We start from the raw sequence: 24,173 nt of genomic DNA, 5'->3' as shown, positions 1-24,173 counted from the left end.
CAAATCTGGATTTCCACCTGCCTCCTCCATTTCCTCCCCCGGCTGTCCAGGTATATGACCCCTTCATAAACATGCCCACACAACTCTATCTTTCAGCCTCAACCTTCTCCTCAGCCCTCCAGCCCAGCCATCCAGGGCAGTAGCTTGATCAATATTACTGTCATTTGTCAAGTGGCTGAACAGACATCTGTCTACCAAGTGAGTCTTCTCTCCTTGAGGACAGGGACGAGGCTTGCTCATTTCTGACGCGGTACCTGCCCCATCGCAGGGCCCATCTCAAGCAAGAAACTTTTATTTTTGGTCCCATCACGACATTCCAGAGTGTAAAACAGCAAGATGCACCCACCACCCTCAAAGTAGCTTGGCAAGTCGGGGCACGAGGGGGAAAAGCACTAAAATTTAAAAATGAGAAGAAATGGCCGGGCGCGGTGGCTCATGCCTGTAATCCCAGCACTTTGGGAGGCTGAGGCGGGCGGATCACGAGGTCAGGAGATCGAGACCATCCTGGCTAACATGGTGAAACCCCGTCTCTGCTAAAAATACAAAAAAGATTAGCCGGGCATGGTGGCGGGCGCCTGTAGTCCCAGCTACTTGGGAGGCTGAGGCAGGAGAATGGCGTGAACCCGGGAGGCAGAGCTTGCAGTGAGCCGAGATCGTGCCACTGCACTCCAGCCTGGGTGACTCCGTCTCAAAAAAAAAAAAAAAAATTAGAAGAAATGAAGAAGACAGCAGGAATTGTTCTCTGCCAGAGCATAAATTTCACAAGACAATGCTCCCAAACAAAATTCACTGCAAACAGTTTAAATAAACAGCTGTGACACCTAAGGGTAAGACTGAAAAGCAGAAATGACACAAAATTGGGGGTCGGAAGGCCTGGCTGTGAGTGTTAACTTCTGGCATTTACCAGCTATGTGTGTGGGAGCAGGGTATTAACACAATGGCTCTGACTGAGCCCACCAGGCTGTCATCCTCAGTGGTCAACACAACGACTAGTTTGGAAAGGTCTTTGCTCCTGGACAACACATGCAAAATCTTATTATTGTCATGACCTCCCATAGGAGGTGGCTACAGAAGCAAGGCTCAGGGTTGGCCCTGGATGTGACACCTTCAAAACTGCTCTCACCCGCAGCATCACCACTCCCTGACAGAGCCTCTCAGAAGGTAAAGTCAAAAGCCATTGTTCAAAACCTTCCCTACAACCCTTAAGGACTTAGAAAGGCCGAAACACCCTCCTGGGTTCAGTCTGTGATTGAAGACTTCTCTGGCACTTGCTCAGCTCCGAGTGATTCATCATTTCCTGGAGAGAAGCTACCCAAAACCCACTCACTGCCCAGAGAGCAAACACGATCTGTCACATCTGCCCTCACGGCAGGTGCTTAAAGGGCACCTGTGGGCTTAAGGCACATCCAAGGAGCCTGGTGATTCAAAAGCCAACCTAATATCACTCTGGGATGGGGTGCCCCTTATCTGTGTTCCTGTTATCAGCAGGAAATTACAGCTCTCAGATACAGACCTGGCTGCTGCTCGTGGGGCCAACGGATCATGTCAGGACAACTAAATGACCACCCCTGGCACCCTTCCTCTAGGGAAGGCACTGTCGGCTCCCCAGCTGGGCTTGACAGGGACGATTTTGGGGCTTCCTGCTCACTGCCCTAGCCGCCCTCCTCTGAGCACACTACAGTCAGTGTCTCAGCACCTGGGGACTCTATCTGTGGTCCGCCCAGCACTGGATAAAGTCACAAACATCACGCTGTTACTGGTGTTCGCCGAGATCACATCCACCTTGGAGGTTTACAAGACAAATGAGGATTTTCATCCAAAGCATTTAAAAACACAAAAAGCTTCTAGGAAGTGCCCAAAATGGTATCATGACTAATAAGACTTGCATGAAAATGAAATTGATTTATAAATAGTGTTAGCTTCCTCCTGTAATTTACACTTACGGCAAAGAGGAAGTCTTTTCAGAGCATTGTGGACTGATACTTAACGGCGGTTGATAAGGGTGATGAATTACCTGTGACAAAAGAGGAAGTCTGGCTCAGACTCAGGGTGATACAGGGAAAGGAACACAGACAGAAAGTCAGGCCACCTGGGCAGCAGCCCACGCCCTGCTGTAACTGGCACACACTTATAGGCAGCTGCTGCCCTCTGCCAGGTCTGGATTGACTGAGTCCACCAGCGTCCCTGTGGTTAAACTGTCCTGGCCAGAGTGCCTTGAGGAGCTTCTTAAACAGAAGAGCACAGCTCTGCATCCATCACTACCTGCTGGGAAATTGGGGACTTTCTTGGCATGCCAGGGTTCGTGAGACATTCCCGTCCAAAATACAAAAACTCACTAGAAAAGCTGGAGATGCTTTAAAAGGCCTGCAGGTCAGAGGCCCTGCAAGTCAGAGGCCTTTTAAAGGTCTTTCAATACTTCCTGACAAAAGTGATGAAAGAGCAAAAACAGCCAGCCCTGGGGTCCCGCCACCAAAGCCCTGCCTGTGTTAGGCAGGTGGGAAATTTTGCAGCTCTTGCAGTGAGCTTCCAGGGTGGCAAAGTGGCAGGCGTCTCCTCCTCCAGCACACCCCCACCCTGCTCATCCCCCTCCTTGCCCAGGGACAGGAGGGCGTTCCCATAATTAAGCTCATCTGTAGAACTCCAGCACACAGCAGACGCTCCAAAGCATTCACGACCGCAATTTCATACAGTTCCAGAAAGGACAGCACTGCGGACACTGTCAGGATGAGGTGACAGAGGTCACATGGTTTCTTGCCTCACGATTAAATTAGAAAATTCCACATTTATTCCAAAATTGGCAGAATCCATCTCCAGGCTTCACAAATTGCCAAGAAACGCTGCTTTCTTGGAACTGCCAAAATTCAAAACCCCTGCCACAGCTTTCCTAACCCCACAATTTTTGCCAACACCAGCCACCTCTAGAAGATTAAGGTCAGTTTAAAATGGCCTTGGAGGCCGGGCGCGGTGGCTCACGCCTGTAATCCCAGCACTTTGGGAGGCCGAGGCGGGCGGATCACGAGGTCAGGAGATCGAGACCATCCCGGCTAAAACGGTGAAACCCCGTCTCTACTAAAAATACAAAAAATTAGCCGGGCGTAGTGGCGGGCGCCTGTAGTCCCAGCTACTTGGGAGGCTGAGGCAGGAGAATGGCGTGAACCCGGGAGGCGGAGCTTGCAGTGAGCCGAGATCCCGCCACTGCACTCCAGCCTGGGCGACAGAGCGAGACTCCGTCTCAAAAAAAAAAAAAAAATGGCCTTGGAACAGCTCAAAAGAAAAAATGGACAAAACATATAGACAGTTCACATTTGGCCAATAATATATGAGAGAGATATTCAACCCCATTCATAATTAAAGATACAGGAATCGAAAGAGGCCTTTCAGATGGTCCAAAATCAAAGCATTTCATTAAAACCCCAGGGCCCATGAAAAGTAGGAGAATCAGACATCGTCACTCACTACTAACAGGGTCATAAATGGGGTAAGCAATGTGGCAATGCCCATCTTTTGGGGCACCTATTGGCAAACCCTAGCAACTATACCGCTGGGAACTGATTGTACAAATACAGTAAGATCCGTGTACAAAAACAGTAACTGTAGCATTAATTGTAATAGGGAAAATCAGAAATAACTTAATATCTGTATGACTCTGGCTTAATAAATTATGGGCCATCCACATTGTAAAATGGAATATTATGAGGCTGATAATAAAATGGTAGAGAGGTAGCTCCATAAATATTAACATGAAAATGTATATATAGAATGAAAACAGGTACAAAAATACTTATAATATGGACCCATTGTGGTTTTTTGTTTGTTTGTTTTGTTTTGTTTTGAGACGGAGTTTCGCTGTGTTACTCAGGCTGGAGGGCAGTGGCGCAATCTCGGCTCACTGCAAGCTCCGCCTCCCAGGTTCACGCCAATCTCCTGCCTCAGCCTCCCGAGTAGCTGGGACTACAGGCGCCTGCCACCAGCCTGGCTAATTTTTTTGTATTTTTAGTAGAGACGGGGTTTCACCATGTTAGCCAGGATGGTCTTGATCTCCTGACCTCGTAATCCACCCATCTCGGCCTCCGAAAGTGCTGGGATTACAGGCGTGAGCCACCGCGCCCAGCTGGACCCATTTTTAAAAAATTACATTTGTACATATTTTGATATGCATAAAAAAATTCTGGAATGAGATACATACAAAACAAGATTCACAAGATTCACCCCTGGGGACCAGCCTGGGAAAAGGAGGAAGAGATCTTCACTTTTTATCATAAATACTTCCCATAGTGTTGCTTTCTAGCTTGTGTTTTTTATGTCTGCATGTATTTCATGTCAATTATTAGTAACCTCAGAGAACTGGGAGTGAAGGATGGAAAACTCTGGTCCACTCAGTCTCAGGGTCTCCATCACTGAAACCACTGAGACAGGACAGGGTGCTGGACAGGGGTACTCCTGCTTTGGAGGGAAGGTCAGATGAGTGATCACTCAGCTCCTCCAGCGCTGACACTTTGCAACCCTCAGATACCACAACCCCAGGTGACGCTTGTTCTCACGTTCCTGCCAAGAAATACAAATGGCCTGGATAAAGGTGGGTGTAGACATCTAAATATGGTATGACAACTATGCTGAGCAAAACAGCCCAAGGCTTTGACTCCGATCCTTTGGCTCTTAATTATTTAGCTCACTGATTAAGGACAGGACGTTCTTTTCCTTCAAAGACCCAATGGCACATTCTCTCTACGCACTTTCAAGAGCCCTCTGTCCAAATTCGTGTCTTGGTCAAAAAGAATGCTCTGCCCTTATAACTTTATTTCTGTATTACCCCCCACCCCTACCACACCCCAGCAATTGGGAGGTGGGCATATATCACCTGGGTGTTCCAGGGCACTATTAGGAGACAATATAGCTCAGCAGGTAAGAGCGCAGGCTCTGGAGGTATTCAAATCCTGCCTCCACCTTCCACTAACTCTGTGATCAAAGACAGGTTACTAAGCTCTCTGCACTGCAGTTTCGCATCTATTTTATAAAAAGGGATGACATCAGCACAGCCACCTCATAGGACTGTTGTGAGGCAGTAAATGTAAAGTACTTTTCAAAGCACATGCACCAAATAAAAACCACGTGCTAATTCTGTGACCACAAACTGGTTCCAGACAAAATCCGGTCTTTGAATAACGTCTCTTGCCAGAGGGGACTTTGTATATATCACCTATTTAAATAGTACCTTCCCAAAAAGACAGAGGCAAAGAATATTACTAGTTAAAATGAATACAGAACTATTTGAAGGCTATGCCTACATTCCACATTCTCATTTGCCCAAAATCTGAGCCCAAAGAGGCCACCCCGAGACTGGTGGCATTCTGGCATTGCACAGAGTCCAATGGTGGGACATTGTTTTGCCAGAACAGTTGTCTGGGCGCCTGTCTTGTCTGGTGCCCATTATCCTAAAACCCTTGTTGCTTGTCTCCTGTCTTGTAAACTGAAGACCTACAGCCTAGTGAGATCCATGAACGCGGAGGACGACTTCATCAAAAAGTGAGTGTGTGTGGCTAGGGGACAGAGGGCAAGGGGAGAGGTGCGAGGGCTTCCAGGGAGCGAGGCCGGGGAGGGGAGGGGGGCACAAGTGCGTGCCAGCAGGCAAATGGGGGTGTTGGTTGTGTCTCCCATGCAGGGTCTGTGGTCAACTTTGTGAGCCAATGCAAATCAGCTCACACTCAGGAACAAACAGGCCTCCTTACAGAGCAAAGTGCCTGTTCTAACAGCCTATGGCTATTTCTGGAAAGCCCCAGCATTCAGCATCAGCCGAAAATTTTAAGTTGTTGCAAGAATCACAACATTTGGTCAGTGGGTTGAAAAATCCACTGTAACCATGACCCTGTAGCCATGACCACCGGTGTGAAAATGCTTCTGGCTTCTCTCCTGATGGAGCCCAGTCCATCTGGTTCCTCCCAACCTCTCAGCTGGGAGTGGGAGCGGCACAACGCGCCCTGCATCCCTCAGTGTGCAGAACAGCCTGTGGGCCAGACACTGCTGAGGTTTTAAGACTCCTGGGCCACATACCTCATTGTGAAAAGTGTCAGCCTGGGTCTGGGTCAGCCCAGACCCAGAGCTTTCTACAGGCAGAAACTCACTACTCAACATATCCCTGGCTGCACAGACCCCACCCCAACCCCAGCTGCTAAGGGCTTGTTGGGGTGAATTACAGGTAGGGAGACAGACAGGGGAAAGCTGTGGAAAGAGGAAGAGGAAGGGAACCCACAGGAAGGGAGGTCAGGGCACTTGCTTCGGACCCCAGCAGCCCCAGGGCCCAGTGTGGCCTCCTAGGGGGCACAGATTCCCTTCAGGCGCTGGTGCATCCTCTGATCAAGGAGCAGGGCCAGTGTGGGTGTGTCCCCTCGACACACAGGCATGGGCCCCTCTCTCTCTCCAGACCCTCCCTCACAGCTCAGAAAGCGAACATTTCAGAAACAGCCATCCGATAGGCACCTGGGCCTCTTCTGAATGAAGAACCTGTGACGTCACTGAACGGCTTTGCTTGGGTTTTGTCCCAACTCTTTTTTCCCCACACACCCCGTTCCAGTTTTAAATGAGTGGGCTTATTATACAATACATTGGTCCAGGGTTCAATAAAGTGTCAAAATTGTGACTTTGCCCTTCTCAAGGAACAAGCCCCAAAGCTGCTAGTGGGTGATTCCAGGGACTTCCTCCTCAGGACCCCTCAAAAGCTCCAAGATCCCACGCCCGGGCTACCAGTGAGGAAGTGCAAGTGCAAACAGGTCGAACCACCAGCCTCGGTGTCCTGGCGGGACCTAACACCTGGATGTCTCTCAAAATGCTCCAAAAGCTGCCGACATCCGTGCAACAGCCCCCTCCCACCCTAAGGAAAAAGCTGCCTGTACCCCTCGACTACCCCCATTGGCAGGCTTGCCCAAATCAATTAACCTCATTTAGGTACCTTTTAGGCCTTGAACCCAGTACACAGATGGTCCGGAAAAGCCAACCGGAAGAGAGGTGGCAGGCAGGGGGAGGGGGTGTCCCACAGGGATGATTTACAGAGCAGAGGCCGGCGTCAGCCAGGACTGTCCCAACCCCACAAAGAGCCCCTCCTCGCTGGCACCCTGTGGCACTTTAAAATCATAACAACCACAATGATTCGTGGACCCCATATTATGTTCCAGGGGCTCTTTTTTATCTCAATTAATTTTTGCAACAATCCTGTGAATGGGTATGATTATCCCTTCATTTTACAGATGGGAAAACTGAGGCTCAGAGGATTGAAGTCTTCTGCCCAAGTTCTACATCTGTGAGTGGTCAGAACAACAACTGCAAAGCCCAGTGCTCTGTGCCGGCCTCGGCGCATCTCAGACCACGGTGGCCTCAGGACCTTCTTCTGAAATATCTTTTCATCTCCTGACCCTCCCCTGCCGTCTGTTCTGGGCCCTTTGTGCAGCTGACCACGCAAAGAGCAGGAGAGCAGGACCCACAGACTTCCTTCTGGCTGGGCCAGGCCAATTGTCCCCACCTAATCCAGGGCAGGCTCCTTCTCAGTCACTTCCAAGGTCCCCCCTACAACCAGGAATCCCTGCGGTCTCTCACCTGAACCCTCGCGTTCTCTCCCACACCACAAGACTCAGCAGGTCCGCCCCTTGTCCCCCTGTGCTTTTCTAAAAGAAAGGAACTGCTGATAAGCGAGACCTGGGTGGGTGAAAGAACTCGCTCAGGGTCCCACAGAGCTCAGGCAGAGCCCAGACCTCCCGACCCGAGTCCAGGGCTATATCCAGGCCTGGCTCCACAGGACCACAGGGCCCCACATGCAAATAGGAATAATAAGCGCCAAAACACACAACCCATGCACAAAAACACTCAATAACAAATGCTGGCAAACGTGAAGTGCTATCAAAGTATATAATCATAAATCCAACTGTTACACCTTTCAACAAGAATCTGGGAGCAAGAAAAGTGTTCATGTGTGGATGTGCTTATTTCTCAAATACTATACATTCCTCAACTGCTTACTTTCATTAATAAGACCCAAATTACGGAACAAAGGATAAACAGTCAATCTCACAATCACTACCCCTAGACCACCATACCACAACACCCCCAATTAAAAAAACGGCTACAAGCTTTGATTTCCCAAAACACTTCTATCCTGTGGGAAACTGCCGGGTTCTAAAACATCTCCAAATTAATACTGCCAGTTGTCTTAGTTGGTTTCCTGCTTGCTGATCAAAAACAGGGTTGACATCTGCTTTCTCCAGCAACTACTGACCACACAAATTACCTACTCTAGCTCCACAGCACTTAAGTTACTCCCAAAACGTTACTTCTCATCCTGCATTTTCCTGGCCTTGCCCATAATAAAATTACGTGCAGGAGCAGCTGACGGAGCTCACTAGGCCTAGCACCTCCTAGGCTGCAAGAAAGGTGCAGAGGCCTCGCAGGGGAGAGCTGTAATATGAGAACCGGGATTCCAACCTGGGCTCAGCCTGCCCTGCCGCCCGGCAACTGTATGACCTTGGGCACAGAGGTCAACCTCCCTGAGCCTCAGTTTCCTCAACTGCAGCGCTGGAATCCTAACTCCGGGGGAAAGAAAGGCTCTCATCCCAGTCCCCGGCGCAAAGCTGGGGATGATCGCGCAGAGCCAGGACGCACCCGCGCTGGCCGGCTGGAGCTAGTCCCCGCGGTTCTGGGACTGCGCGGCAGCCCCCAGTGGCCCCTACGCCGCTCGAGATCAGCCAAGCCGGGCCCACACCGGGCCTCGCGGCGCGTCAGGAAAGCCAGGCCCGAGGGATGCTCGCGAGGCCCTCCCGGCCTCCGGGGCCTGTTTCCCCGCCTCCCTCCCCCGAACCACTTCCCGTAGAGGGCCCCGGGGACGTAGCCCGGCCGTCGGTCCTCGGGCCCCGGGGCCGAGCCCCCGCCTCGCCACGCGTCCTCAGCGCCCCGGCGCCGCGCCCCGCCCCGCCTAACCCGAGGCTGCGGCCCCTGCTCCACAGCGGGAGGCTGGAGGCGGCGGCTACTCACCGAGCGGCGCCGCGCGTGGCCGCCTTTGTATTGCAAACACCCAGCCCGCCGCCGGCTGTCAGCGCAGCTCGCCTTCGGGGGCGGGGCAGGGGCGGGGGCAGAGGGCAGGGGCGGGGCAAGCGGGGCGGTGCGAGGGGGACTCGGGACGCGCTGGTGGCCCGGCTGCTTTCAGGGCCTGCTGGCCGGCCCTGCCCGCTCACCCCTGGCCGCCTATCTTAGCGTTCCTGGGGGTGGGGCCCCTTAGGCCGCCTTTCTGATTTTCCTTTCCAGAGCCAAACTCGTGTGTTTCTTCAACACTCTGACTTGACCTATGCCGATGACTGGGGGAGTGAGGACGGAGGGGTGCAGAGAAAAGGCAGCCAGGTAAAAGTCCAGGTAAACCACCCAGGGCCTGGCCGCGATCACGTCGGTCCTATGGGTCCCGCTTATCACCAGTGGCGGGATCTGAGCCCGTCCTTGACTTTACTGACCCTCGCCCTTCGTTTCTTCCACCTTAAAGGCGCAATCGCGTTGACCTATCGCCATCTCTTCTTAGCTTCTCCACGCCGGGCCACCCCTGTCCTTCATCCTGATGGTGACAGCCTCCACTCCCGCCTCTGCCAAGCGGTGGTCCAGGTGCGGAACGGTGGCTCTGAACAGGAGGGACAGGCAGCTCCCTGCGCCTCTCCAGCCGGGAGGCAGGCAGCGGATAAACAATGAGCCACATAACGTCTGGTGGTGAAATGATTTCCATCAATGGGAGGGTGTCATATTTGAACTGAAACTCTAAATGACAAGAAACACCTATGACTACAAAGATGGGGAGGAGGCAGGGCTTTCTGGAGAGCAGAAATGGCAGGTGCAAAGGTCCTGGGGCCGGTGCTGTGGGCTGGAGGGAAGGCAGGGGCCAAATATTCAGGTCTTGTAGGCCAAGGCAAGGAGTTTAGGTATTATTTAAATGTTATTCCAAACCAATTCTTTTTGAGACAGGGTCCCACTCTGTCACCCAAGCTACAGTGCAGTGGCACAATCTCGGTTCACTGCAGCCTTCACCTTCTGGCCTCAGGCAATCCTCCTGCCTCAGCCTCTCAAGTAGCTGGGACCACAGGTGCATGCCACCACGCCCAGCTAATTTTTCAAACTATTTGTAGAGACCAGGTCTCCCTATGTTGCCCAGGCTGGTCTCAAACTGCTGGGCTCAAGCAGTCTTCCCACCTTGGCTTCCCAAAGTGCTGAGATTACAGGTGTGAACCACCACGCCTGGTCCAAAAAGAATTTTAAACCTGGGAATTATATGATCTAATTTACTTCTTTAAAAAGTCACCCCTCCACTCCATGGAAAATGGACTGCAGGAGTAGAAGCCAGCAGACAGGTGGCACTGCAGGAAACCGGGGGACATGATGGTGGCTCAGATTACAGGGGCTACTCAGCAAGAAGCGGAAGGACTTCAGAGAGATTTGGAGGCAAAACCCACAGGCTTACTGATGAATGGAACCGGTGGAGGTGTGTGATGCGATACTCAAAGGCAAGTCTCAGTGTGGAGATGGAACCGCTGCTCTGCTGAGATGCAGAGGGCCAGGGAGGAGGCCAGCTTAGAAACAGCATCGAATGCGGCAGCTTAGTGAATTGGATAAGCCAGCAAGCTTGAGATAGATGTTTGGGGACAGCTGCTTGGAGAGCTTTGTCCAGGGGCGCGGCTCCCGTCCATCTGGTCAAGTGTGGACACGCTCCCGCTGGGCTTGGGGCAGCTCCTATCTAGGCAGCCTGTCCCATGCTGACATTGCAGACGTGGGAGCTACACAAAGAGAATCTTGCAGTTTGTAGGTGAGCTACCTCCACAGGGGTTTTCTCAGAGACCAGAGTTTCAAGTGCATCACGGCTGCCCAAAACTGCTGAGGTTGCAAGGCCCCAGAAGGAAGCCCTCCTGCACCCTCCCCTCCCACCTCCAGGGAGGAGCTGGCCTGGGAAGAAGTCTACTCTATGTGGAAAGGCTTTCCAGGAAGCCAGTCCAACTTCAGGCCACTTAAGTTTATTTTTTGTGTAAAATAAGTCCATTATTCAAATGTGGAGATGGGAGGTCTGAAAATATAGGACAATTCAACTCAAAGCCCTCATTCTGAAAATGATGAGCTGGGGGGCCCAGCACGGCTAGGGTCAGCTCTGATGAGCAGGGTCTGGCTGGATTCAGAGCAAATTAGGTCCCGCTGCTGCCCAGCCTACCACCTCGGGGAAGGCCAAGGGTTGGGGGGAGCCTTTTGTATAAACAAGCAATGAGAAGAAAACACTCACTAGATCACAGTGCACTCCCAGGCGATAAACGAAACCGGACTTTCCAAAGCCCTGGCGCTTTTGATCAGGCACTGGCTGGAGTCCCCCTGGGAGGGCCCTTGGCTGTGCTATCAGCAACCAGGCCTGACTGAGCAGTGACTCAGCCAGGAGAGCTGAGGCGATCCCCCTGGCCAATCCCAGGACCTAGCTGCACTCGGAAGAGGAGAAGGAACTCCAGGGATGAGTAATCTTGCTCTAGCTGACTGGAGGAGGAAGGAGGGGCTGAGTAATGCCTTAGCAAAGCCAGCACAAGCATCCTGATTCTAGAGGCTCAGTTTCACAATCCAGGAAATGGGCTGCAGGTGCACATGACACAGATCTGCTTTGAGGATGAAAAAGGCATCATGGGAAGCTGCTGTCACAGTTGTGGGGTTGGAAGATTTTTCAATTCTAAAACCCCATAAGTTGAGGAGTGGCCATTCCCAGAAGGATCTGTTCACTGCTGAGCCCAGCTGGTGACAGTAGCTGTTGTATCCCGAGAACTCTGAAGTTGTCCAGATCAACCACCTACACAGGCCCAGAATACCTGGGGCAAGGTAGGCGGGAAGAATGAGCATCCCTCTTCACGGGTGCCCTGCGAGCTACTGTAGGAAGGAGAAACACTGGCTGATCCCCCAGGACTCTGAGCATGGTTAGCTCTGTAACTGCCCGGGCAGAAAGGATCCCAAAGAGAGGACAATGAATTCTTCCCCTAGAGGTGCAGACTTTTATCCCTGGCACCAGTGCCTGGGGCTCCGGGGAAGGGAGGGCATCTCCTCGGGGTCTAAGGCCACTCCTTGGTTGGGGGCCCCTCACGAGGTGACTTTGTCCTGCGCACTCTCTTAAGAACCAGGTGGGAACCAGGGGCCACCTGGTGCCGCTTCACTACCTTGGTGGCAGGGAACAGAGCAGCCTGGGAATCCACCCAAGGTGGAATGGGGCCCCCTGGGTGCTGTGGCTGGCTGAGCAGGGAAGTTTCATGGGGAAGAGGCAGGTGTAAAAGGTTCTGGGTTCCGCAGGGAGAGGACAGTGATCCTCGGAGAGCAAACAGCTGGAACCAAAGCACAGAAGGTTTTGACGGTCACCCGGGCTATCCAGAGGCCCACTTCACAGTTAGGGCAGGGCCTGCAGATTAGAGTTGAGGCACAGGAAGTGGCAGAGTGATAAAGGCTGACAGCTGGACACACAGGAGCATCTTGGAGGCCCTAGGCTGAGCACTGGGGGCTACAAAGGGGAGCAGACCAGACACAGTGTCTGTCCTCAGGGAGTGCACAGTCTGGGTTGTGATCGCGTAAAAACTGTCACAGTGCTTCAGGCCGCTGTGAACTGAAGGGCCGTGCACTGATGCAGGATTTGACCTGCCCTGTCCCCAAGCAAGAGGATTCACCTGACCTTGGTGGCCTAAGCAGGCACCGACCTAGGCAAATCTAGGCCAGGTGTCAAGGAGCAGAATGAACCACGGGCCAGCCAGCAGCACATGCACAGCAGTCAGGCACGCACAGGTGCTTGAAAGAAGGCCGTGGCTGGCCGCTGGTGGGCGGGGGAGCTCGGGAGCTCACAGCAAGCCCCATGCCTGTCTCCCACTGGATGAAGCCAGAGGGGGTCTGGAACGCCCTTTCTCCTCTGGTCAGATTGGGAACAATTCATAATGAGCGGGGCTAAGACACAGAACAGCAGAGAGGCAGGAAAGAAGAAAGAGACCAAGGTGCGAGGAGCGGACAGGGAAAGAGACCTCAACATGACCAGGGATGGGAGGAGAGAACTCCATTACTTAGAAACAGTGGCTGCTATGCTGGGAAGTGTGGACTGTTACAGTGGGCTCTAATTCCAGGAGGAACAAAAAGACCCCGCATATCACCATGAGTCAGTCCTCTGAGTCGCCATGACCCATGACCTTGCTAAACAAGTGTGGGGCTGTCACAGCCTTAAGCAGCACATCTCAAGTCTCACATTCTCCAGTGCTAAGAAAACAGCTACACAGACAGAATGCTAAGGAGAGCTCAGAAGTAGAAAACCCTTAAGAGTCCCCCCTTCCTTAGATAGGAAAACTGAGGCCCAGAGAGGCAAACAATGGGTCAGTATGTGTGTCTAAACTTATCTAAACATAGAAGAGGTATAGTAAAAATACGGTATTAGAATCTGATGGGAGCACCATCGTATACGCAGTCTGTAGTTGACCAGAACATTGGTATGCGGCACATGACTGTAGATCTTCTCATTAATAATAGGCAACCTGGTCAGGTGCACGAAGTCTAGGGTTCAGAATCCAACAGGCTCAAATTCAAGTCCAGCTCAGCCACGTGGCTGAGTGCTGTCTGAACCTCAGCGTCCTCAGCTGTTAAACAGAGGTAACCATCCCCATCTCAGCAGCTTTGGGAGGAAATTAAATGAGATATATTGGGATCCAGATAACCAATAAAATATCAAATCACTTTACCAGTTCAAGCTCTTACCACTCAGTGATTGCATGGACTTATCACTGACGAATGAACTCAGGAGTTCAGGAGTTCGAGACCAGCCTGGGCAACATCCTCACCCAGCTAATTTTTGTTTTGTTTGGTTTGGTTTTGTTTTTGAGATGGAGTCTCACTCTGTCGCCCAGCTGGAGTGCAGTGGCACGATCTCGGCTTACTGCAAGCTCCGCATCCCAGGTTCACATCATTCTCTTGCCTCAGCCTCCTGACTAGCTGGGACTACAGGCACCCGCCACCTTGCCCGGCTCATTTTTTGTATTTTTAGTAGAGACAGGGTTTCACTGTGTTAGCCAGGATGTGTATTTTTTTATAGAGACAGGGTTTCGCCATGTTGCCCAGGCTGGTCTCAAACTCCTGAGCTCGAGTGGCAATGTTTGGAACCAATTTACGCAGTTCTTTTCCTTGCAGTTGCCAAACAATATTATTTATCTAATGGTCATAACACCTTAACAGTAATAGAACTACTGAACAGCAGTGCTTACTCTGCTCATGGATGAGGTTTCTAGTTGTCTTCTGTTAAGCAGGTGGCCTTGAATTCTGGCAGCTCACGCTTCAGAGTTACCTGTGGACACACGACATCATTCACAAAATGTTCTTTTTCTCTCCAGTGTCTCTCGAGAATGAAAATGACCAGGCCATCCTCACATTCTACAGAGGTTAACCCAGCAACTTAGGGACACAGCTGGGGCAGGACTCCCGGGCTCCTGGTCAGTCCCTCTATGGGGATGCTAAGCCTCAGGGCTGACATCTCTTAGCTCTGCCTTCCAGGGAGAATTTCACAGGGCCTCCCATTTGTGCTGCTGTGAAGGCCGTCCTGCTCCTTGTCAAGCCTGTCTTCTCCGTGGCTTGAGGAAGATCTCTTTCGTGCCCAAATTGTGAATAAGTAAACTGGATGCAGCATCTCTGATTGCTCTGGGAAGAAATTTATGAGAAGTGCCTGAGAAAAGTCATGATTTTATGCCTCTGCTAAGCAACCTGTTGGACACTGCTTGGTATCTACAGCTAAGTGGTTCCCTGTTCAGACCTGCTTCCTCTGATTAGCAGCCACAGATCTTCTGGGTTTTCACTTGTTTATTTCTGTTTATTGTCATCTCTGGGAAGATGGCTTCAAATTTTTTATCCCCCAATTATTTAACCCCATATCAATTGATAAGAAGATCTTTTCTTTCTTTCTTTCTTTCTTTCTTTTCTTTTCTTTCTTTCTTCCTTTTTTTTTTTTTTTTTTTCGAGATAGAGCCTCACTGTGTCACCCAGGCTGGAGTGCAGTGGGGTGATCTTGGCTCACTGCAACCTCCACCTACCAGGTTCAAGCAATCCTCCTGCCACAGCCTCCCAAGTAGCTGGGATTACAGATGAGTCCCACCACACCCAGCTAATTTTTGTATTTTTTTTTATAGAGACAGGGTTTCGCCATGTTGCTTAGGCTTGTCTGGAACTCCTGAGCTCAAATGATCTGCCTGCTTCGACCTCGCAAAGTGCGGGGAAGTTATAATTGAAGGGTGTGATGGTTAATTTTTGGTGTCAACTTGACTGGGTTAAGGGATACCCAGATAGCTGGTACAGCATTGTCTCTGGGGATGTCTTTGAGTGTGTTTCTGGTAGAGGTTGGCATTTGGATCAGTGAACTGAGTGAGGAAGGAAGATTCATCCTCACCTGTGTGGGCTGGGCTCCATCCAATCAGTTGAATTCCTCAATAGAACAAAAGGGCTGAGGAAAGGCAAATTCACTCCCTTTTCTGAAGCTGGGACACCCTCCTTCTCCCGCGCTTGGACATCAGCACTCCAGGGTCTCCAGCCGTCGGACTCCAGGACCTGCACCGATGGCCCCTCAGGTTCTCAGGCCTTTGCACTCAGACTGAGCTATGTCACCAGCTTCCCTGGTTCTCTAGCTTGTAGACAGCAAATCATAGGACTTCTCAGCCTCCATAATCATGTGAGCCAATTTCCAAATTAAATCCCCTCTCATTTATCTATATCTCTATCTATCTTATTTGGTTGTTTCTCTGGAGAATCCTGATACAAAGGGTTTACATTGAATGTCATTCGCATATGGTTATATAAATAGTAGCCGTTTTAACACCCTCATCTAATTCTATCATGAATGTCATTTCTGGATCTGTTTATATTGATTGATTTTTCTCCAGATCCTAGGTCATATTATCCTGCTTCTTTGCAAGCCCAGTATTTTTGTTTGGACACGGGACATTGTCAGTTTTGTACTGTTGGTGGCTAGATTTTATTATATTCCTTTAAACAGTGTTGTGCTTTGTTCTGAGATGCAGTAAAGTTACTTACGATTAGTTTGATCTTTTTGAGCCTTGATGTTCAACATTGTTACGGCAGATCCAGAACAGCCTTTGTTTTAGGACTAATTTGTCACCTCTTTGAGGCAATTCTCTTCTACTTTTCTCCTCGATGTCCTGAATTTTAGGGGGTCTTCCCAGTCTGGCTGATGGAAATGTAGTTTTTGTTGCATAAAATTTACCTCAAAACTTAGCAGCTTGAATCAACAGGTATTTATTCCCTGCAGTTTCTTGTGTCAGGAATCCAGGAGTGGCCCAGCTGGTGGCTCTAACTCAAGCTCTCTCGTGAGGTCGCAGTCAAGGTGATGGCTGGATTGGAGCCCTCTGACTGGGGCCAAAGGATCTGCCTCCAGGACGGTGACTCACATGGCTGTAGCCAGGGGCTCCATTTCTTGCCTCATGGACCTGTCCGGAGGCTGATTGAGCAATACAGCTTCTGGCTTTCCCCCAGAGGGGCTGACCCAAGAGAGAGCAAGCAGGAGCCACAAGGCTTTCTACACCCTAGTCTCTAAAGTCACAAACCATCATCGTCACTTTCACCACATTCTGTCCTTTAGAAACATATTAGTAAGCCCAGCCCACATTCAAGGGAGGTAGGTGTAGGCGCCTCTTTTTGAAAGGAAGACTATCAGATAATTTAGGGATCTATTTCTAAGCTGCTCTCACAGACACACAATATCCCCAGGCCTGAGTGATTTCTGGAGATCGTTCTGCCTGCAAGCTCCTTCCTTGGTGGTTTCCTCACATTCATGTGCAGACCAGTACTCAGCTGAAGACTCAAGGCACTCCTTGCAGATCTCTGAACCATTCTCTGTGGCTCCTTCTTCTGCAGATCTCTGCCCTGCAAATTCTAGCTCCCTTGGCCTCCCGGAAGCCCACACTCCATCTCCTGAGCTGGGCAGGCCCTCAGGCTCTGTTTGGGCTCCCTCTCCTGGCACTGCTGAGGTGGACACTTGTGAGGCTGCTCTTATTGCTTCCCCTCTCCCAGGAATCCCTGTCCTGTTCTGCCTATTGTCCAGTGTCCACTAACTGTTGTTTCACATACTTGTCCAGCTTTCCGGCTGTTTTTAAGACAGGAGGGTAAACCTGCTCCCTGTTATTCCATCAGGACCAGAAGTGGGACTCCCCAGCAGCGGTGCTGGCTCCTGAAAATGAGTCAGCGGCCATGTAGCAGAGGGGAGACTGACACCCTCCCCTCTTCTTCTTCTTTTTTTTTTTTTTTAATTATACCTTAAGTTGTGGGATACATGTGCAGAACGTGCGGGTTTGTTATATAGGTATACACATGCCATGGTGATTTGCTGCACCCATCAACTCATCATCTACATTAGGTGTTTCTCCTAATGCTATCCCTCCCCTAGCCCCCCACTCCCCAACAGGCCCCAGTGTGTGATGTTCCCCTCCCTGTGTCCATGTGTTCTCATTATTCAACTCCCACTTATGAGTGAGAACATGCGGTGTTTGGTTTTCCGTTCCTGTGTTAGTTTGCTGAGAATGATGGCTTCCAGCTTCATCCATGCCCCTACAAAGGACATGACCTCATCTTTTTTATGGCTGCATAGTATTCCATGGTGTATATGTGCCACTTTTTCTTTATCCAGTCCATCATTGATGGGCATTTGGGTTGGTTCCAAGTCTTTGCTATTGTAAATAGTGCTGCAATAAACATACATATGCATGTGTCTTTATAGTAGAATGATTTATAATCCTTTGGGTATATACCCAGTAATGGGATTGCTGGGTCAAATGGTATTTCTGGTTCTAGATCCTTTAGGAATCGCTACACTGTCTTCCACAATGGTTGAACTAATTTACACACCCACCAACAGTGTAAAAGTGTTCCTATTTCTCCACATCCTCTCCAGCATCTGTTGTTTCCTGACTTTTTGATGATCGCCATTCTAACTGGCGTGAGATGGTATCTCATTGTGGTTTTGATTTGCATTTCTCTAATGATCAGTGATGAAGAGCTTTTTTTCATACATTTGTTGGCCACATAAATGTCTTCTTTTGAGAACTGTCTGTTCATATCCTTTGCCCACTTTTTGATGGGGTTGTTTGGTTTTTTTCTTGTAAATTTGTTTAAGTTCCTTTTAAATTCTGGGTATCAGACCTTTGTCAGGTGGGTAGACTGCAAAAATTTTCTCCCATTCTGTAGGTTGCCTGTTCACTCTGATGCTAGTTTCTTTTGCTGTGCAAAAGCTCTTTAGTTTAATTAGATCCCATTTGTCAATGTTGGCTTTTGTTGCCATTGCTTTTGGTGTTTTACTCATGAAGTCTTTGCCCATGCCTATGTCCTGAATGGTATTGCCTAGGTTTTCTTCTAGGGTTTTTATGGTTTTAGGTCTTATGTTTAAGTCTTTAATCCTTCTTGAGTTAATTTTTGTATAAAGTGTAAGGAAGGGGTCCAGTTTCAGTTTTCTGCATATGGCTAGCCAGTTTTCCCAGCACCATTTATTAATAGGGAATCCTTTCCCCATTGCTTGTTTTTGTCAGGTTTGTCAAAGATCAGATGGTTGTAGATGTCACACCCTCACTTCTAATCTGACATTACCTCGCTCCCTCCTCCTGGTCCACTTCCCTATAAAAGTGATGCCCTTTGGCATACACTTCAGATCAGCACATCTGTGTCTAGCACTCCAGGCTTCATCCTTCTTCCCAGCTTTCCCCAGCCTTGTAGTCCACACTGCCTCCTTTGCCAGTCCCAGGGATGATATTCAAACTATTAGGCATGCCATGAACATGAGCCAATCAGAGCAGACACCAGCCACAGCAGAGCAGGGACCTGCTGGCTTATGGAGAGGGCTGCAAAGGGAAGGGGGCAAATCTAAGAGAATAGATGAGATGGCAGGAATGAGGCCACTTAGGGGACTGGGGACAGTGACTGCAATGGATATTTCTAAATTTCTAGTATTTCAATCATTGGCAAGGTCATAGCAGTGTATACCGGATGAATCTACCAAAGAAGAAAACATTTTTGGAATTGCTTTTTAGCTTCAACTGAGAAATGCATCTGCTATTGACTGAATCTTTGTGCCCCCCAAAATTCATCTGTTGAAACCCTAGTCCCCACTGTGCTGGTATGATGAGGTGGAGCCTTTGGGAGGTGATTAAGTTCAGATGAGCTCATGAGGGCAAGACCTCCATGATGGGATTTGTGCCCTTATAAGAAGAGGAGGAGACCAGAGCTCACTCTGTGTCATGTGAGGACAGTGGGAGAAGGCAGCTGTCTGCAAGCCAAGGAAAGTGGACATCACCAGAACCCAACCCTGCCGGCACCCCAGTGGCAGAGGTCCAGCCTCCAGAACCATGAGATAGAAATTTCTGTCTTTTAAGCCACCCAGCCTATGATATGTGTTCTAGCAGCCTGACCTAAGACAGCATTCTAAAGAGACCTGAAAAGATGCTCGCATCCTAAAGGGCATCAAATTGGTTTCAAATCCACAGAATCAACCTAGACTGAAGGCACCCCAGTGCTCAATTCTTCCCCAGGCTGCCCCAACACAGAGCTCACCAACCAGCCATAGAAACTGGAACCCCAAAGCTAAGGTGTCAGTCAGCTGAGTGATCAGTTTCTGGCCTCAGTGAGGGAAGCTGACTTCCAAATAAAATCAGGTTTCTGCAAAGAAGACACTGTGCAACCTGTGACAGTACTAGGACACCTGAGCCAGCCCCCCAGAGTCATAGCTCAGCCACTAAATGCCTCAGCAGATAGACCTTTGAACCCAGTTAAGATAAAATCTACAGTGCTAAGTGATATAACCATTTATCAGCTCTAAAGAATGAATTAGGAAAGCAGAAAAAGACTGAATTTGCTAACAAATCATATCATTTCATGGGAAGAATGTAAATGCTGTTTGCCTATATAGCCATTCACTTTGGCACGTGCCTGTTGCCTAGAGCCTAACACAACCCCTTTCATCGTTGACCTAGAACCTGGGGTTGGTGAGGAGAGTAACTATACTCTGAGGACTTCATTCGTCTCACATTTCCCCTATTCGACAATGTCCAGTGTATGCCAGACCCACAGAAAGGTCTCAGAAGACTTGTTGAAGGACTAATGGGTTGATTGGCTAAGCTAAGCTATCACAGGAAAGGGACAAGACACTTAGGAGAGTTATTGTCAATCTCCTAGATTCAAATACATGTTCCTGTGTACTTAGGAAAGCAAAATTGAATTTTCCTTTAACCTAAAGCATAACATTAATATAATACTTAACAAAACCACATACACCTAAAAGGAGCATCAAAGATGTAAGAGGAACATTATCCCCCTCCAAGGGTACCATGGGAACACTTTCTTTTTTTTTTTTTTTGAGACAGAGTCTTACTCTGTCAGCCGGGCTGGAGTGCAGTGGCACAATCTCGACTCACTGCAACCTCTGCCTCCCAGGCTCAAGCAATTCTCCTGCCTCAGCCTCCCAAGTAGCTGGGATTACAGTCGTGTGCCACCATGCCCGGCTAATTTTTGTATTTTTAGTAGAGACGGGGTTTCACCGTGTTGGCCAGGTTGGTCTCGAACTCCTGACCTCAGGTAATCTGCCCGCCTCGGCCTCCCAAAGTGCTGGGATTACAAGCATGAGCCACCGCGCCCAGCCAGGAACACTTTCTGAATAACCTTCTGGTCTCTGCATCCCTTGTTCCTTCTGTCTCGTCAAAGGAGCTGTGCAGCTGTAGCTCAACTGTTCCTTTCTAACGCAAGGGTAAATACAAATCAAAAAATTTTTTTGCATTCTCTCTCATGCAATAAGGGAAAGAGACTGCCTTCCCCCCGCTTCTCTAAGAGCATTTACTATAGTATACATGTCACTGTAAATTCTTTCTCTGTCCCTTTGAGATGTTGTAAATCTTTTGAAAAGCTAAATAAGCCTGTGGCCACCTGTAAAACTCAGGAGTGTTTCCTAAGAGATCTGGAGGCCGCCTCTTTGAAATGTAAACATCAGGGAAGACAGCACCCCATCTTCTACCTTCCATGAGAAGGTAAAAGAGAGCCTATCTGGCAGGAGACTTGCTCCAAGATGCAAAACTATCTCCTGTCCAGATGGATTTTTTTCCCTCTTGGGTCTTGGGTAAAAGCAATTAGCTAATGCAGATTACCAGGTGAATTCAAGATGAACTGAGAAGGATAAAGGGTGCCGTCAAGTGCTCTTACTTGAGGACTAGTTATGGTTTATCTTCAGAACATGTAAACAATGGGTTGTATTTGCTTGGCTATAAAAAAGGGTGAGTTTCTCTCTGTCACGTTATTATTACTATCATCCATCCCTCATCCTATGTGTTCTCAAAGGGCGTGAGTGAGGACAGAAGAAAAGTTGGTCATTGGTTAGAGTCCCTCATGCTCGTTATTATTACTATTATCCATCCCTCATCCTATGTGTTCCCAAAGGGCATGAGTGAGGACAGAAGAAAAGTTGGTCATTGGTTAGAGTCCCTCATGCTCTAACAGTAGCTTCAAAATGTCACATTGCAATGTGAATGAAGGTCTCTAATTTAATACAAACTGGTCTGTTTTGATTCATGGCCAAATGCACAATACTCTTTCCTGTGTAGAATCATCAAGTGTGGTACGGGAGAAAGAACATAGGATTTGACATCAGAAAGGTTGGCTTTGTGTCCCAGCCCTGCCCCTTACTAGCTGTGTGACTTTGTCAAGACATTTAATCGCATTGAATTTCAGTTTGATTGTGTCAAGGAGATCTCTTGGATTCCTTTCATTGTTGCTTTTTGTACAATGGAACTTGGGTGCTCACAATGTGCTGCTCTGCGGGGAGTGCCAAAAGGCTGTGGGCCTCCAGTCCTTGGAAAGAAAGCACAGTAGCTGGGTGCAGTGGCTCACGCCTGTAATCCCAGCACTTTGGGAGGCCGAGGCGGGAAGATTGCTTGAAGCCAGGAGTTCAAGACCAGCCTGGGCAACATGGCAAAACCCTGTCTCTACTAAAAATACAAAAATTATCCAGGCGTCGTTGTGCACACCTGTAATCCCAGCTACTTGAGAGGCTAAGGCAGGAGAATTGCTTGAACCCAGGAGGTGGAGGTTGCAGTGAGCTGAGATCACGCCACTGCACTCCAGCCTGGGCAAAACCAAGACTTTGTCAAAAAAAAAAAAAAGAGAGAGAGAGAGAGAAAGAAAACACAGTAAAGAGTCATGCAACTGGACAATTATTATGTGTGTATAGGACAATACTAATGCATGATTGTGTAGGCCAACTAGTGTTAGGGGTGTGTGTGTGTCTTTGTGTCCATACACTTTCATATTGCCACACTAAAACCAGATTCATCTGCCCAGGCTCCAATGTATATGAGGTGTTAAAACATTCCTGGGAACATAGCAAGATAGAAAATCTATTTCCCATAATCCTGCTTGGAAATAACACCCTATCTAGTTTCAAAAGGAATACTTGGATCAGCTGCAGGGGGAAGGGAGTAGAAACCATAGGACACATATTCAAATTAGATCAAGTGGTTGCTAAACCGACAGGTCATGGGGTGCATTTTTCTGAGTGGAGAATAAACATTTCTGGGGAGTGGGAATGGAATTGTTAAGGTAGAAGAGCCAGGTATTGACCCCAGCAATTCCCCCCATCCAGTCTTTTCCCCCATGACTTTCCTTCCAAATATATGTGGAAATATTGGTCGGAGGGACCTCACAAGTTTTGGTTTGGCCCCCATACAAACACACACACACACACACACACAGAGAGAGAGAGAGAGAGAAAGAGAGAGAGAGAAATGGACACTTGTAATTCTGGTTATTGTTTTTGGAACAGTCCATCAGGAAATTCAAGTTCTACACAAGAACAATGACCAGCTCTTTTGTTCTTTTTAAACTAGGGAGTATCTATTTAGGTATCGGTAATAAGGCATATTTCACCACAGTGTAATGTGGCACAAGACACATGCATCTTGGACACCAACCAGCAGGATTTTATTATGACATTGCCATTTATCAGGTGGTCCTTTGGCCTGACAGCAATTTACAAAAGGAGCTTACATTTATTAATTGAATACTGCTTTGGAATAGGTATTTCCAAACCCTTTGCAGACATTATCTAACCATTTTGATCCTACAGCAACTTCATTAGGTAAGTACTATTATTATTTCTACAACCTGATGCGGAAACACATGTCACACAGAAAACAAAGACAGCTGGGAATAAAGCCCAGGTCTGTCTGTCAGTCCCTGACTTCAAGGATGTTATAATCTAGAGTAGATAGCTCTGAACCAGAAGTCCAAAGGGTCCACAGATACAAAGCAGAAGCATGAACTTGGATGTGGGAAAATTACATCTTAATTTCACTAACTTCTAACTGAAATGCAGTATTTCTTTCTGTTATAAATATAGGTAACAAATGGCAATAGTATTAATGATACACACGACCACCACCTCCAACAACAACAAAATAACAGAAATGTTCACACCACATCAAAGTTGTTGCACATATTGCAAGATATTACATAAACTCATCATTACTTAAAAATTGTGCTTGTCAATTGCAACAAAAGCCAGAATTGACAAATGGAATCTAATTAAACTAAAGAGCTTCTGCACAGCAAAAGAAACTAACATCAGAGTGAACAGGCAACCTACAGAATGGGAGAAAATTTTTGCAATCTACCCATCTGACAAAGGTCTAATATCCAATATCTATAAGGAACTTAAACAAATTTACAAGCAAGAAAAAAACCATACAACCCCATCAAAAACTGGGCAAAGGATATGACTAAACACTTCTCAAAAGACATGTATGCAGCCAACAAACATATGAAAAAAAAAAACTCATCATCACTGGTCACTACAGAAATGCAAATCAAAACCACAATGAGATACCATCTCAGGCCAGTTGGAAAGGCAATTATTAAAAAGTCAGGAAACAATAGATGCTGGCGAGGCTGTGGAGAAATAGGAATGCTTTTACACTGTTGGTGGTAAACTAGTTCAACCATTGTGAAAGAGCGTGTAGTGATTCCCCAAGGATCTACAACCAGAAATACCATTTGACCCAACAATCTCATTCCTGGGTATATACCCAAAGGATTATAAATCCTTCTACTATAAAGACACATGCACATGTATGTTTATTGCAGCACTATTTACA

At 48.5% G+C, this 24,173-nt stretch overlaps 1 protein-coding gene and 1 long non-coding RNA gene across 15 annotated transcripts in view, besides 9 other annotated features; one reads left to right on the top strand and one right to left on the bottom strand.

The window, feature by feature from the left end:
- The window catches only part of LPIN1 (lipin 1), a 149,866-nt gene that overhangs the window by 71,726 nt on the left and 53,967 nt on the right, over window positions 1–24,173 (bottom strand). For 9 of the 14 annotated variants that reach the window (NR_146080.2, NM_001349204.2, NM_001349202.2 and 6 more), the window contains exon 1: window positions 9,013–9,052. The exons of 3 other annotated variants lie outside the window; for them this stretch is intronic. Coding sequence is in view for 1 of the 11 variants with exons in the window: in NM_001261427.3 (NP_001248356.1) it covers window positions 14,256–14,264 (9 nt within the window). In the remaining 10 variants the exon portion in view is untranslated. Of the gene's footprint in view, window positions 1–6,943; window positions 7,152–9,012; window positions 9,053–14,255; window positions 14,336–24,173 lie in introns of those variants that run through there. 2 more of the 14 variants (NM_001261427.3, NM_001349205.2) reach the window with 2 other exon arrangements.
- Window positions 1,680–1,889: an enhancer, noted in NCBI's record as "active region_15324". NCBI's record gives its function as "activates an Ori minimal core promoter by ATAC-STARR-seq in GM12878 lymphoblastoid cells {active_cell/tissue: GM12878}" and the evidence as "EXISTENCE:reporter gene assay evidence [ECO:0000049][PMID:35858748]".
- Window positions 5,507–5,566: a silencer, noted in NCBI's record as "silent region_11177". NCBI's record gives its function as "represses an Ori minimal core promoter by ATAC-STARR-seq in GM12878 lymphoblastoid cells {active_cell/tissue: GM12878}" and the evidence as "EXISTENCE:reporter gene assay evidence [ECO:0000049][PMID:35858748]".
- Window positions 6,027–6,076: an enhancer, noted in NCBI's record as "active region_15323". NCBI's record gives its function as "activates an Ori minimal core promoter by ATAC-STARR-seq in GM12878 lymphoblastoid cells {active_cell/tissue: GM12878}" and the evidence as "EXISTENCE:reporter gene assay evidence [ECO:0000049][PMID:35858748]".
- Window positions 6,097–6,356: an enhancer, noted in NCBI's record as "active region_15322". NCBI's record gives its function as "activates an Ori minimal core promoter by ATAC-STARR-seq in GM12878 lymphoblastoid cells {active_cell/tissue: GM12878}" and the evidence as "EXISTENCE:reporter gene assay evidence [ECO:0000049][PMID:35858748]".
- Window positions 7,129–7,800: an enhancer, noted in NCBI's record as "H3K4me1 hESC enhancer chr2:11888010-11888681 (GRCh37/hg19 assembly coordinates)". NCBI's record gives its function as "activates a minimal SCP1, AML or CMV promoter by ChIP-STARR-seq in naive H9 embryonic stem cells {active_cell/tissue: H9 hESC(naive)}" and the evidence as "EXISTENCE:reporter gene assay evidence [ECO:0000049][PMID:30033119]".
- Window positions 8,804–9,373: a silencer, noted in NCBI's record as "silent region_11176". NCBI's record gives its function as "represses an Ori minimal core promoter by ATAC-STARR-seq in GM12878 lymphoblastoid cells {active_cell/tissue: GM12878}" and the evidence as "EXISTENCE:reporter gene assay evidence [ECO:0000049][PMID:35858748]".
- On the top strand, window positions 10,225–15,748 carry LOC124907735 (uncharacterized). The gene is made up of 2 exons (XR_007086220.1): window positions 10,225–11,856; window positions 14,382–15,748. It is a non-coding gene; the product is annotated as an uncharacterized LOC124907735 (long non-coding RNA).
- Window positions 10,312–10,885: an enhancer, noted in NCBI's record as "H3K27ac-H3K4me1 hESC enhancer chr2:11884925-11885498 (GRCh37/hg19 assembly coordinates)". NCBI's record gives its function as "activates a minimal SCP1, AML or CMV promoter by ChIP-STARR-seq in naive H9 embryonic stem cells {active_cell/tissue: H9 hESC(naive)}" and the evidence as "EXISTENCE:reporter gene assay evidence [ECO:0000049][PMID:30033119]".
- Window positions 16,227–16,521: a silencer, noted in NCBI's record as "tiled region #9262; K562 Repressive DNase unmatched - State 8:EnhW". NCBI's record gives its function as "represses a minimal TATA promoter and a strong SV40 promoter by Sharpr-MPRA in K562 cells {active_cell/tissue: K562}" and the evidence as "EXISTENCE:reporter gene assay evidence [ECO:0000049][PMID:27701403]".
- Window positions 16,730–17,029: an enhancer, noted in NCBI's record as "active region_15321". NCBI's record gives its function as "activates an Ori minimal core promoter by ATAC-STARR-seq in GM12878 lymphoblastoid cells {active_cell/tissue: GM12878}" and the evidence as "EXISTENCE:reporter gene assay evidence [ECO:0000049][PMID:35858748]".

The sequence above is a fragment of the Homo sapiens genome, chromosome 2 (genome assembly GCF_000001405.40).
Source record: "Homo sapiens chromosome 2, GRCh38.p14 Primary Assembly".
Lineage (NCBI taxonomy): Eukaryota > Metazoa > Chordata > Mammalia > Primates > Hominidae > Homo > Homo sapiens.
Note: the sequence above shows the minus strand (reverse complement) of the source record. Positions and strands in the feature narration are given on the sequence as shown.